Source organism: Homo sapiens, chromosome 14, assembly GCF_000001405.40.
Source record: "Homo sapiens chromosome 14, GRCh38.p14 Primary Assembly".
In the NCBI taxonomy this organism is placed as follows: domain Eukaryota; kingdom Metazoa; phylum Chordata; class Mammalia; order Primates; family Hominidae; genus Homo; species Homo sapiens.
Window position 1 is genome coordinate 45,743,146 of NC_000014.9, and position 13,692 is coordinate 45,756,837.

At 37.7% G+C, this 13,692-nt stretch overlaps 1 long non-coding RNA gene across 1 annotated transcript in view; it reads left to right on the forward strand.

The window, feature by feature from the left end:
* The first annotated feature begins 487 nt into the window (after window positions 1-487).
* The window catches only part of LOC105370478 (uncharacterized), a 30,377-nt gene continuing 17,172 nt past the window's right edge, over window positions 488-13,692 (forward strand). The window contains exons 1-2 of the long non-coding RNA XR_001750751.1: window positions 488-1,022; window positions 5,461-5,512. This is a non-coding gene — a long non-coding RNA (uncharacterized LOC105370478). The remainder of the gene's footprint in view (window positions 1,023-5,460; window positions 5,513-13,692) is intronic.

Here is a 13,692-nt window from a genome sequence, read left to right on the forward strand (position 1 = left end):
TGGTGTCACATAGAAGTTAAAATGTTTCTTCTCTCATGTGTCACTTGCATTGACTGTTTGTCATATTCTTTGTGACTTGTGGATGTGTTTAATTTTTACTAAGTCAAGTATCTATTTGATGATATCTGCTTTCTGTGGCACACCGCGAAAGGTGTTTTCCATCCTGAGATCTATTAAATATTTTTCTTCTAGAAATTTTATTTTTTTATATGTAAATAATAAATTATTTAAGAAAGCATTTTCTGTTGTCATGTATGCATCTAATTCTAGTTTTTTCAATCTTTAGCCAGTTATTTTTTAAACCATTTGCTGATAATATCCCCTTTCCTCACAGATTTGAAATGTTCCCTATATTAGATACTAAATTCCTATGGGCATTAGAGTAACTTTTAGGATCTTAATTCTGTTTCTTTGCTTTTTCATGCATTCTTGTACTAGTGCGAGAATAATTGTTGAGGCTTTAAAGTACATATTAACATCTGGTTCTACAAGTTCTACTACCTTCCGTTTACACATATGTTCTTGTCTATTCTTGATTACCCTTCCAGATGAAGAGTAATTTTGAATTAATGTTTCAAGTTATAAAACAATTTCCAATGGGATTTTCGTTAAGTTTTTTAACTAATTGTGAGAATTGTGTAATATAGTGGTTTCAAATGGTATCTTGACCCAGTTTGAGGCCCTGGCTAGAGAGTAGTCACTTTTTTTCTTGAACATTTGATTTTGTTCACACCCCAATCATGTACCCCAAACTCTGGGCCACTATGCATCAACCCAAATTGCCCCATAGCCAGATACCAGGCAACAAGGGCCAGTGCCTAGTCCTCAGAGCTCACTGAAATTATTCACACCAGCCAATCTTAAACCTACTTGCCCTGCTTCACAGTTTCATTCCTGCAGAAACCACAATAAAGGGACGTGCCCTCAGTTGCCCTGTCTCCCTCTGCCTCATGACTGACCGCGGTGCATGACCTGAGTGGCCTTGTGTGGCCTGCTGCTTTCTCCCCAGTGAACTGTGAATTGTGAGTATACAAAACTGTAAAACTCTTTCTAGTTTCTCTTTCTTGATCTGTTCTCACTATACGTCAATGAATATACTATGGAGGTATAACAAATTGTTATAATATTCGCTTTTCTCAACCAGAAAAAATATAGTAGTTTAAAAACAGTATTATCAACACGTAAATGTTTAGATAAATCTGAGTATACATTTTAAGAATACAAAGGGTAAACAACACATAGGCAAACTTTAAGGTAAATAACTTACAGGTTGCCTATATGTTGATGACTCTCTAGTTTGTGTCCTGACCTCTAAGTGTCAGGTTTATATTTTGAGCTGTTTACTTGACCTCTGAACTTAGCTATATAATGGTTGTTTTACAGTTAACATACCCCAAACTGAATTCTTTGTTTTCTTTAAATTTGCTCCTACTCTGTAGTTTTCTCACTCTTAGTTGACACCATCCCCATACACAAATTTTCTAGAGCTAAAAACTTGAGTCAATCTTTATTTCTATCTTCCATCATTCCCCACCCAGTCCATCCATTAATCCTGTTAACTGTCTCTTCAGAAGTAAATGCAGATTCTTTTCATTTTTCGTCATCTCCACTACTGTCATCCTGGCCCAAGTTCCATCATCTTTTACCTGCACCACTTCCTTAAGCTTCTGTTGGTCTTTCAGTAACCAGTCTTAGCCCATTTCAATATAGTTGCTATAATGCAATCAGAATGAAATAAACTTTTAACCATGACTCGTGCTATGCCCTCCAATGGCTCATGATTGTTGCTTTATCTCCTATTCTGTCTCTTACTGTGACAATGCCACACTGGTCTTCTTTCTGTTCTTTGAGTGTTCCAAGCTCTTTTGGACATCAAGGCTTTTGCACTTTCTAGACCCTCTTTCTCAGATCTTCACAAGATTGCCTTCTTTTAAGTTCTCTTAAATTCAGTTCTCAGGTCAGACACCTTCTGAATTTCCTATTTTCTTCAAAACATATATGATACTTGAAAAGTATTTTGCTCATTTAACTATGTGCATATTGTTCTATTTTCCAAATCATTAGAATGCCCTTGTTAGAGCAGGTGCCTTGCTTTTCATCTCCATCAATGGATCTCCCCTATCTACAATGGTGCCTCTTCACTCATAATGCTTGGTTGGGGAGTGGGGTGAAAAGAAGTTGGTTAATGAGTATAAAAACATAATTAGAAGGAATAAGTTATAGTATTTGATAGGACAATGGGGAATTTATAGGTAACAATAGTTTATTGTATATTTCAAAATTGTAAGAATATTTGAAATGTTCTCAGTGCAAAGAAAAGACAAATATTTGAGGCAACGGATATTCCAATTAACCTGATTTGATCATTACACATTGTATACATGTATCTATATATCACATGTACTCCCAAAATATGTACAACTATGATATATCAATTTAAAGCCCATATAAGTCAATTCAATACATTAAGACATAAGTTCCAAACTTTGAGGTCACAAGGAAGCATATTCTAGCTTAAGTAATTGGGGAAAACAATAAAAACAGGTTACTTATGTAACAATAACATAAAGCTAAAAGATCTTTATAACCTAAAAATAAAAAACAACCACAAACCCAATAACTGAAGTCAAGAGAAAATTATCAGCTTATTATGCTATAATGTTGTTGAAGTAGTAAATATTAAATAATAGGGATATTAAATAACATTTAGCCTCTCCCTCATTCTCTATTCTCTGTCAGGTAAACAAAATAAGAAATGTTTTTAGGTTGAAATCTTGAATTATAAGTTAGTTTTGAAGACATAATAAGTTTTTATATATGTTTCATGTATTCCGAAATTAATTCAATGGAAGACTTGGTATTAGCTATGCTCTTTGCTAATTGATCTTTTATTTAAAAGTAAAAAAAATTTTTTTTTGAGATGGAGCCTCACTCTGTCGCCCAGGCTGGAGTGCAGTGGTGTGATCTCAGCTCACTGCAACCTCCACCTCCCAGGTGCAAGCTGTTCTCTGCCTCAGCCTCCCAAGTAGCTGGGATTAAAGGCACCCGGCACCATCCCTGGCTAAGTTTTGCATTTTTAGTAGAAACGGGGTTTCACCACCTTGGCCAGGCTGGTCTTGAACTCCTGACCTCGTGATCCACCTGCCTCAGCCTCCCAAAGTGCTGAGATTACAGACATGAGCCACCGTGCCTGGTCAAAAATAAGATTCTTAATTTAGAATATTCCCTTCAATTTTAAGATTTTAAGGATAATATTCACCAATTTCTGAAAAAGTTGTATTGGTCAATATATATTATTTAACTCTGATTTAGAATAAGTTAGATTGTAGTTTATATAGTGTAAGAATACTTTTTCTGATAATGACTTATATAATATGTTGATTATTGTATTAGTCCATTTTCACACTGCTATAAAGTTACTACCTGAGTTACTACCTAAATTACCTGGGTGATTTATAAACAGAAGAGGTTTAATTGATTCACAGTTCTGCATGGCTGGGGAGGTCTCAGGAAACTTACAGTCATGTCAGAAGGCAAAGGAGAAGCAAGTACCTTTTTCACAAGGTGGTAGGAGAGAGACAGATAGCACAGGAGCAACTGCCACAGGCTTTTAAACCATGAGATCTTGTGAGAACTCCCTCACTATCATAAGAACAGCATGGGGGAACCACCCCCATGATCCAATCACCTCCTACCAGGTCCCTCTTTTGACACCTGGGGATTACAATTTGGGATGAGATTTGGGTGAGGACACAGAACCAAATCATATCAATTACAGTTCAGCTTAATAACTGTCCTACTAAAAAGACACAATTTAATTTTCTAATTGACCATTGCAGGTATATTCTCTCCAAGTATAGTCCTTTGTCAGTTAAGTGTTTATGAGTGTCAAAACCTCTCCTGCAAAATGGAATGAATAGCTCTGTCCTGTCATATGCTACTAAAAGATAAAAGAAACAAAAGCCTTGGTAGAGCACTGTGCAATCATCGGAGTGGGAGGAAACATCTATTATCTGTTTCCGATGAACCAAGCATTGTCCTAAAGCGATATGCAATATATCCTTTGCATAAAGTTAATCTCACAGCAACCTGATGATGCCAACAGCATTATTTTATGATTTTTTACCCGCTTTACAAATGACATCTATAACACTTAGAGAGGTTAAATAACATGTCCAAGGTCATACAACTAGTAAGTGGCATAGCTAGGATTTTAAACTTAGGAATTCCAACCCTAGATTCTCATGTCTCTTGTCTCCTAGTCCTTTGTGTAGTTTAGTTTTGAATATTTTGTGTGTGACAAAAGTTTACCATGAATTGCCTTGAAACATGGAGATAGGTACAACTTTGTGAGAGTGTGTGAAGGAGAGTACAAAGGTCTGGGAAGTGTACTGCATGGGTGAGTGTGGGAACACCAGTATTCTCCTAACACAAGTGTATGCATCTCACAACAGAAGACCTTCTATCAGCCATGACTAGCATCTCATTAACTTAGTATTTATACCATGGTTTCCCCTCTGTTTATCACATATTTTAAGTATTCCCAAACCTATCTTAAAATTGAACAAACTCGGCTGGGCACTGTGGCTCACGCCTGTAATCCCAGCACTTTGGGAGGCCAAGGCGGGCAGATCACCTGAGGTCAGGAGTTTGAGACCAGCCTGGCCAACATGGTAAAACCCCGTCTTTACTAAAATACAAAAAATTAGCTGGACATAGTGGCCGGTGCCTGTAATCTCAGCTACTCGGGAGGCTGAGGCAGAAGAATTGCATGAACCCAGGAGGTGAAGGTTGCAGTGAGCCGAGATCGTGCCATTGCACTCCAGCCTGGGCTGTAAGAGTGAAACTTCGTCTAAAAAAAAAAAGAAAAGAAAAAAAAAAAAGGAACAAACTCTGAAGTATAAGATACACAGGCAGAGTAAATAAATATCAGAATATAATGGCTGCTCAATGTTAAAGAAAAAACAAAGTAATTTTGAAACCAAGTGCTTGTAAAAGTGCCTAAAAGGATAGAAAGGTAACAACTGACTCTACTATAAATGAAATATTAATTTCGTTATTTAGTTTTCACTTTACATGTCTTTGTTTGTTAATAATTGTAGGCCATTATTCTCTATTAAAAAAACAAAGACTGCCTTTCTATTCTCAAAACAACATTTATTTGAGGTGGATATATGCTTTCTGGATGAAAAAATATTTTCAGAATAAATTTCAAATTTAATGTGTTAAATGGTTGTTTACCACCAGAGTAATCCTATGTAACAAACTCCCACGAAACTTCAGTTCTTACGACAAGCTTTCATTGCTTTCATGGAGTAGGACTGGCTAGTTAGGCAGCTTTGCTGGTCTTGGTTGGGCTTATGCACTGAGGGTCAGCTTTCTAAGGCTGATCTAACCTGGCCTGGCTGAGACAACAGATGGGACTCAGCCCTTACTCATGTGTTTCTCATCTCTCTGTAGACTAATTGAGGCATATTTTGTGACTATGGCAGAGGCAAAAAAGTACAAACAAGTAAGTGCTTCTTCAAACCTTATTTATATATTGTCTTCTAGAATCTCATTTGTCAAAGGAAGTCACGTGGTCAAGCTAAGAATCAAGGGTTGGGAAAATATACCTTTTGAAAGAGGGTGGTAAAAAGTCACACGACAAAGACCGTGAATGCAGGGAGGGGTGAAGAATTGGGGCTATTAATGTAATCAATGGTTAGATGGCAGTATTTTTAAATTATTTCTAGCCATCTCAATCAGGTAAGTTAATATAATTAAAACCCATCATTAATAATATTGGCTTTAGTAGAAACAATCATATTCTTTCTTTTTCATTACTTTAATTTTAGGGGAGCTTTAATATCTGGTTGTACAGGCTACTCTTATAATTCTTCTTTAAGATTTTCTTGGTTATTCTCACCTACAGTTTTTGTTCTTGCAGAACTTTAGGATCGTTTTGAGAAGTTTAATTTCCCATGGGTTTTGACTAGATTTGCACTAACATCTATAAACTATATTGAATCATTCAATTCACAAACATGTTACATCTTTCCATTTATTCAGGTCTTCTTTTATGTAACTCCATAAAATTTAATAGTTCTCTTTCCAAAAGTCCTGCACATTTCCTAGTAGCTTTATGCCTAAGTCATCTATATTGCTGTTGTTATAGTAGATGTAATCATTTTTAATTTTTTTCTTTTACTTAATTATGCAGCAGTACATGAATACAAGTCATTACAAAACATTAAAGACGAGTAAAACCAAACACTCTTGTCATTAATCCTACAAACCCTCACTCCTCCCACCAAAGGGGACATCTCTAAAGAGTTGGGCTCATGTCTGTCAATACAATTTTCCATGCTCCTTAAATATTGTTGAGTTTTTGGCTTTGTTATGTTTTGCATTAACAAGATTGTACTATGGATTTTCTTTATGACTTTTCTTATAGCAGTGTTGTCTTAGAAAAGTTTCCAGGTCGGTAGATATGGCTATACCTATAGTTGCATATTATGCTATCATAAGAATTGGACAACATTTGATACATTTCCCTCCTAATGGACATTTAAGTCACTTCAGGCTTTTCGCGATGAAAGCGCTATTTTACCAAACATACATATATATATGTTTATGTGCATATTTTATGCTAGTATTTTTGTAGGCGAGATTTATGAAGATGGGAGTTCTGGGTCAGCATATGAGCATTTTAAGAAATTGAAAGCTACTATCAAATTGCCCTGAAAGAAGGATTTACCACCTTGTGCCAACATTCTGAAAAAGTTAACTTTCCCACACCCTATTTTATTATGAATATGGATCTCTCATCTGTTTTATATGCATCCCATGCTGTCATTTTCTTTTATTATTATTATTATACTTTAAGTTCTGGGATACATGTGCAGAACATGCAGGTTTGTTACATAGGTATACACATGCCATGGTGGTTTGCTGCAGCCATCAACCCGTCATCTACATTAGGTATTTCTCTTAACGGTATCCCTCTTCTCGCCCCCCACCCCCTGACAGGCTCTGGTGTGTGATGTTCCCCTCCCTGTGTCCATCTGTTCTCATTGTTCAGCTCCCACTTATGAGTGAGAACATGTGGTGATTGGTTTTCTATTCCTGTGTTTGTTTGCTGAGAATGATGGTTTCCAGCTTCAGCCATGTCCCTGCATGAACTCATCCTTTTTTATGGCTGCATAGTATTCCAGGGTATATATGTGCCACATTTTCTTTATCCAGTCAATCATTGATGGACATTTGGGTTGGTTCCAAGTTTTTGCTATTGTGAATAGTGCTGCAATAAACATACATGTGCATGTGTCTTTATAGTAGAATGATTTAGAATCCTTTGGGTATATACCCAGTAATGGGATTACTGGATCAAATGGTATTTCTGGTTCTAGATCCTTAAGGAATCACCACACTGTCTTCCACAATGGTTGAACTAATTTACATTCCCATCAACAGTGTAAAAGCGTTCCTATCTCTCCACATCCTCTCCAGCATCTATTGTTTCCTGACTTTTTAATGATCGCCATTCTAACTGGTGTGAGATGGTATCTCAATGTGGTTTTGATTTGCATTGTGGTTTTGATTTGCATTGTGGTTTTGATTTGCATAGTGACCAGTGATGATAAGCTTTTTTTCATATGTTTGTTGGCCACATAAATGTCTTCTTTTGAGAAGTGTCTGTTTGTATCCTTCACCCACTTTTTGATGAGGTTGTTTGTTTTTTTCTTGTAAATTTGTTTAAATTCCTTGTAGACTCTGGATATTAGCCCTTTGTCAGATGAATAGATTGCAAAAATTTCCTCCCATTCTGTAGGTTGCCTCTTCACTCTTATGATAGTTTCTTTTGCTGTGCAGAAGCTCTTTAGTTTAATTAGATCCCATTTGTCAATTTTGGCTTTTGTTGCCATTGCTTTTGGTGTTTTAGACATGAAGTCTTTGCCCATGCCTATGTCCCTGAATGGTATTGCCTAGGTTTTCTTCTAGGGTTTTTATGGTTTTAGGTCTAACATGTAAGTCTTTAATCCATCTTGAATTAATTTTTGTATAAGGTGTAAGGAAGTGGTCCAGATTGTTTGCTGCATATGGCTAGACAGTTTTTCCCAGCACCATTTATTAAATAGGGAATCCTTTCCTCATTGCTTGTTTTTGTCATGTTTGTCAAAGATCACATGGTTGTAGATGTGTGGCGTTATTTCTGAGGCCTCTGTTCTGTTCCATTGGACTATATATCTGTTTTGGTACCAGTACTGAGCTGTTTTGGTTACTATAGTCTTGTAGTATAGTTTGAAGTCAGGTAGCATGATGCCTTCGGCTTTGTTCTTTTTGATTAGGATTGTCTTGGCTATACAGGCTCTTTTTTGGTTCTGTATGAAATTTAAAGTAGATTTTTAAAAATCTGTGAAGAAAGTCAATAGTAGCTTGATGGGGATGGCATTGAATCTATAAATTACTTTGGGCAGTATGAACATTTTCACAATATTGTTTCTTCCTATCTATGGGAATGGAATGTTTTTCCATTTGTTTGTATCCTCTTTTATTTCCTTGAGCAGTGGTTTGTAGTTCTTTTTGAAGTGGTCCTTCACTTTCTTTGTTAGCTGTATTCCTAGGTATTTTATTCTTTTTGTAGCAGTTGTGAATGGGAGTTCACTCATGATTTGGCTCTCTGTTTGTCTTGTCTATTCTTGGTATATAGGAATGCTTGTGATTTTTGTACATTGATTTTTTATCCTGAGACTTTGCTGAAGTTGCTTATCAGCTTGAGGAGATTTTGGGCTGAGACAATGGGGTTTTCTAAATATACAATCATGTCATCTGCAGAGACAATTTGACTTCCTCTTTTCCTATTTGAATACCCTTTATTTCTTTCTCTTGTCTGGTTGCCCTGGCCAGAACTTCCAATACTATGTTGAATAGGAGTGGTGAGAGAGGGCAACCTTGTCTTGTGCCAGTTTTCAAAGGGAATGCTTCCAGCTTTTGCCCATTCAGTATCATATTGGCTGTGGGTTTGTCATATTATTATTATTATTAAGCTGTTATTATTTTGAGATACATTCCATTAATATCTAATTTATTGAGAGTTTTTAGCATGAAAAGATGTTGAATTTTATCAAAGGCCTTTTCTGCATCTAGAGATAATCATGTGGTTTTTGTCATTGGTTCTGTTTATTTGATGGATTACATTTATCGATTTGTGTATGTTGAAACAGCCTTGCATCCCAGGGATGAAGCCGACTTGACTGTTGTGGATAAACTTTTTGATGTGCTGCTGGATTCAGTTTGCCAGCATTTTACTGAGGATTTTCGCATCGATATTCATCAGGGATATTGGCCTGAAATTTTCTTTTATTGTTGTGTCTCTGCCAGGTTTTAGTGTCAGGATGATGCTGGCCTCATAAAATGAGTTAGGGAGGAGTCCCTTTTTTTCTATTGTTTGGAATAGTTTCAGAAGGAATAGTACCATCTTCTCTTTGTACCTCTGGTAGAATTCAGCTGTGAATCCATCTAGTCCTGGGCTTTTTTTTGGTTCGTTGGCTATTAATTACTACATCACTTTCAGAACTTGTTATTGGTCTCTTCAGGGATTTGACTTCTTCCTGGTTTAGTCTTGAGAGGGTGTAGGTGTCCAGGAATTTATCCATTTCTTCTAGATTTTTTATTTTATTTGCATGAGGTGTTTATATTATTCTCTGGTGGTAGTTTGTATTTCTGTGGGAACAGTGGTGATATTCCCTTTATCATTTTCCATTGTGTCTCTTTGATTCTTCTCTCTTTATTAGTGTGTATAGCAGTCTGTATTAGTCTATAGTGGTCTATCTATTTTGTTAATGTTTTCAAAATCCAGCTCCTGGATTCATTGATTTTTTTTGAAGGGTTTTTTGTGTCTCTGTCTCTTTCAGTTCTGCTCTAATCTTAGTTATTTCTTGTCTTCTGCTAGCTTTTGAATTTGTTTGCCCTTGCTTCTCTATTTCTTTTAATTATGATGTTAGGGTGTCAATTTTAGATCTTTCCAGCTTTCTCCTGTGGGCATTTAGTGCTCTAAATTTCCCTGTAAACACTGCTTTAGCTGTGTCCCATAGATTTTGGTAGGTTGTGCCTTTATTCTCATTGGTTTTAAATAACTTATTTATTTCTGCCTTAATTTCGTTATTTACCTAGTAGTTATTCAGGAGCAGGTTGTTCAGTTTCTGTGTAGTTGTATGGTTTTGAGTGAGTTTCTTAATCCTGTGTTCTAATTTGATTGCACTGTGGTCTGAGAGACTGTTATGGTTCCCATTATTTTGCACTTGCTGAGGAGTGTTTTACTTCCAATTATGTGGCCAATTTTAGAATAAGTGCAAGGTGGTGCTGAGAAAAATGTATATTCTGTTGACTTGGGGTGGAGAGTTCTGTAGATGTCTATTAGTTCCTCTTGGTCCAGAGCTTATTTCAAGTCCTGAATATCCTTGTTAATTTTCTGTCTCATTGATCTGTCTAATATTGACAGTGGGGTATTAAAGTGTCCCACTATTATTGTGTGAGAGTCTAAGTCTCTTTGTATGTCTGTAAGAATTTGCTTTATGGACCTGGGTGCTGCTGTACTGGGTGCATATATACTTAGGATAGTTAGCTCTTCTTGTTGCATTGATCCCTCTACCATTGTGTAATGGCCTTCTTTGCCTCTTTTGATCTTTGTTGGTTTAAAGTATGTTTTTTTATCAGAGACTAGGGTGGCAACCCCTGCTTTTTTTTTGCTTTCCCTTTGCTTGGTAAATATTCCTCCATTTCTTTATTTTGAGCCTACGTATGTCTTTGCACATGAGATGGTTTTCCTGAATATAGCACGTCTATGGTTCTTGACTCTTTATCCAATTTGTCAGTCTGTGTCTTTTAATTGGGGCATTTAGAAAGTTTACATTTAAGGTTATTTTTGTTATGTGTGAATTTGATCCTGTCATTATGATGCTAGCTGGTTATTCTTCCCATTAGTTGATGCAGTTTCTTCATAGTGTCAATGATCTTTACAATTTGGTATGTTTTTGCAGTGGCTGGTACCAGTTTTTCTGTTCCATATTTAGTGCTTCCTTCAGGAGCTCTTGTAAGGCAGGACTGGTGGTGACAAAAATCTCTCAGTATTTGCTTGTCTGTAAAGGATTTTATTTCTCCTTCACTTATGAAGTTTAGTTTAGCTGGATATGAAATTCTGGGTTTACCCACAAAGGGAAGCCCATCAGACTAAGAGCTGGTCTCTCGGCAGAAACTCTACAAGCCAGAAGAGAGTGGGGCCAATATTCAACGTTCTTAAAGAAAAGAATTTTCAACCCAGAATTTCATATCCAGCCAAACTAAGTTTCATAAGTGAAGGAGAAATAAAATCCTTTACAGACATGCAAATGCTGAGAGATTTTTGTCACCACCAGGCCTGCCTTACAAGAGCTCCTGAAGGAGCCCTGGTGATGTAGGCACCCGAGGGAATCTCCTGGTCTGTGGGTTCTGAAGACTGTGGAAAAAGCAGTAAACATGCAAAGGAACAACTGGTACCAGCCACTGCAAAAACATGCCAAATTGTAAAGACCATCAATGCTAGGAAGAAACTGCATCAACTAATGAGCAAAATAACCAGCTAACATCATAATGACAGGATCAAATTCACACATAACAATATTAACCTTAAATGTAAATGGGCTAATTGCTCCAATTAAAAGACACAGACTGGCAAATTGGATAAAGAGTCAAGACCTATCAGTGTGCTGTATTCAGGAAACCCATCTCACTTAAAAGCTGAAAATTCTTTTCTTTAAGAATGTTGACTATTGGCCCCCACTCTCTTCTGGATTCTAGGGTTTCTACAGAGGGATGTGCTGTTAGTCTGATGGGCTTCCCTTTGTGGGTAACCCGACCTTTCTCCCTGGCTGCCCTTAACATTTTTTCCTTCATTTCAACCTTCGTGAATCTGACAACAACGTGTCTTGGGGTTGCTCTTCTTGAGGAGTATATCTTTGTGGTGTTCTCTATATTTCCTGAATTTGAATGTTGGCCTGCCTTGCTAGGTTGGGGAAGTTCTCCTGGATAATATCCTGAAGAGTGTTTTCCAACTTGGATCCATTCTGCCTGTCACTTTCAGGTACACCAATCAAATGTAGGTTTGGTCTTATCACATAGTCCCATATTTCTTGGGGTCTTTGTTCATTCCTTTTCATTCTTTTTTCTCTAATCTTGTCTTCACACTTTATTTCATTAAGTTGAATTTCAGTCTCTGATATCCTTTCTTCTACTTGATCGATTTGGCTATTGATACTTGTATATGCTTCACAAAGTTCTTGTGCTGTGTTTTTCAGCTCCCTCAGGTCATTTATGTTCTTCTCTAAACTTGTTATTCTAGTTAGCAATTCCTCTAACCTTTTTTCAAGGTTCTTAGCTTTCTTGCGTTGGGTTAGAATATGCTCGGAGGAGTTTGTTATTACCCACCTTCTGAAGCCTACTTCTGTCAATTTGTCAAACTCATTCTCCATCCAGTTTTATTCCCTTGCTGGCGAGGAGTTGTGATTCTCTGAAGGAGAAGAAGCCTTCTGGTTTTTGGAATTTTCAGCCTTTTTGCACTGTTTTTTCTTCATCTTCATGGCTTTATCTACCTTCGGTCTTTGATGTTGATGTCAGATGGAGTTTTTGTGTGGACGTCCTTTTTGTTAATGTTGATTTTATTCCTTTCTTTTTGTTAGTTTTCCTTCTAACAATCAGGGCCCTCTGCTGCAGGTTTGCTGGAGTTTGCTGGAGGTCCAATCCAGACCCTGTTAGCCTGGGTATCACCAGCAGAGGCTGCAAAACAGCAAAGATTGCGGCCAGTTTCTTTCTCTGGAAGCTTCGTCCCAGAGGGGCACCCACCAGAAGCCAGCTGGAGTGCTCCTGTATGAAGTGTTTGTTGACCCCTGCTGGGACGTGTCTCCCAGGCAGGAGGCACAAGGGTCAGGAACCCACTTGAGGAGGCAGTATGTTTCTTAGTAGAGCATGAGCGTTGTGCTGTGCTCTCTTCAGAGCTGGCAGGTAGGAGCATTTACGTCTGCTGAAGCTGTGCCCACAGCCGCCCCTTCCCCCAGGTGCTCTGTCCCAGGGAGATGGGAGTTTTATCTATAAGCCCCTGACTGCGGCTGCTGCCTTTCTTTCAGAGATGCCCTGCCCAGAGAGGAGGAATTTACAAAGGCAGTCTGGTTACAGTGGCTTTGCTGAGCTGCAGTGGGCTCCGTCTAGTTTGAACTTCCTATGGCTTTATTTACACTGTGGAGGGGAACCACCTACTCAAGCCTCAGTAATGGCAGATGCCTCCCCCTCTACCAAGCTTGAGTGTCCCAGGTTGACTTCAGATGGCTATGCTGGCAGCGAGAATTTCAAGCCAGTGGATCTTAGCTTGCTGAGCATTATACTTGTGTATGCTTCATGAAATTCTTTTGCTGTGTTTTTCAGCTCCCTCAGGTCATTTATGTTCTTCTCTAAACTGGTTATTCTAGAGGAATTGCTAACTAGAATAACCTGTTTAGAGAAGAACATAACAGAGTTATAACCAGTTTAGAGAAAACATAACACCCGCTGAGTGAGATCACTTGGCTCCCTGGCTTCAGCCCCCTTTCCAGGGAAGTGAATGGTTCTGTCTTGCTGGCATTCCAGGTGCCACTGGGGTATGAAAAAAAAAAAAAAAACTCCTGCAGCTAGCTCTGTGTCTGC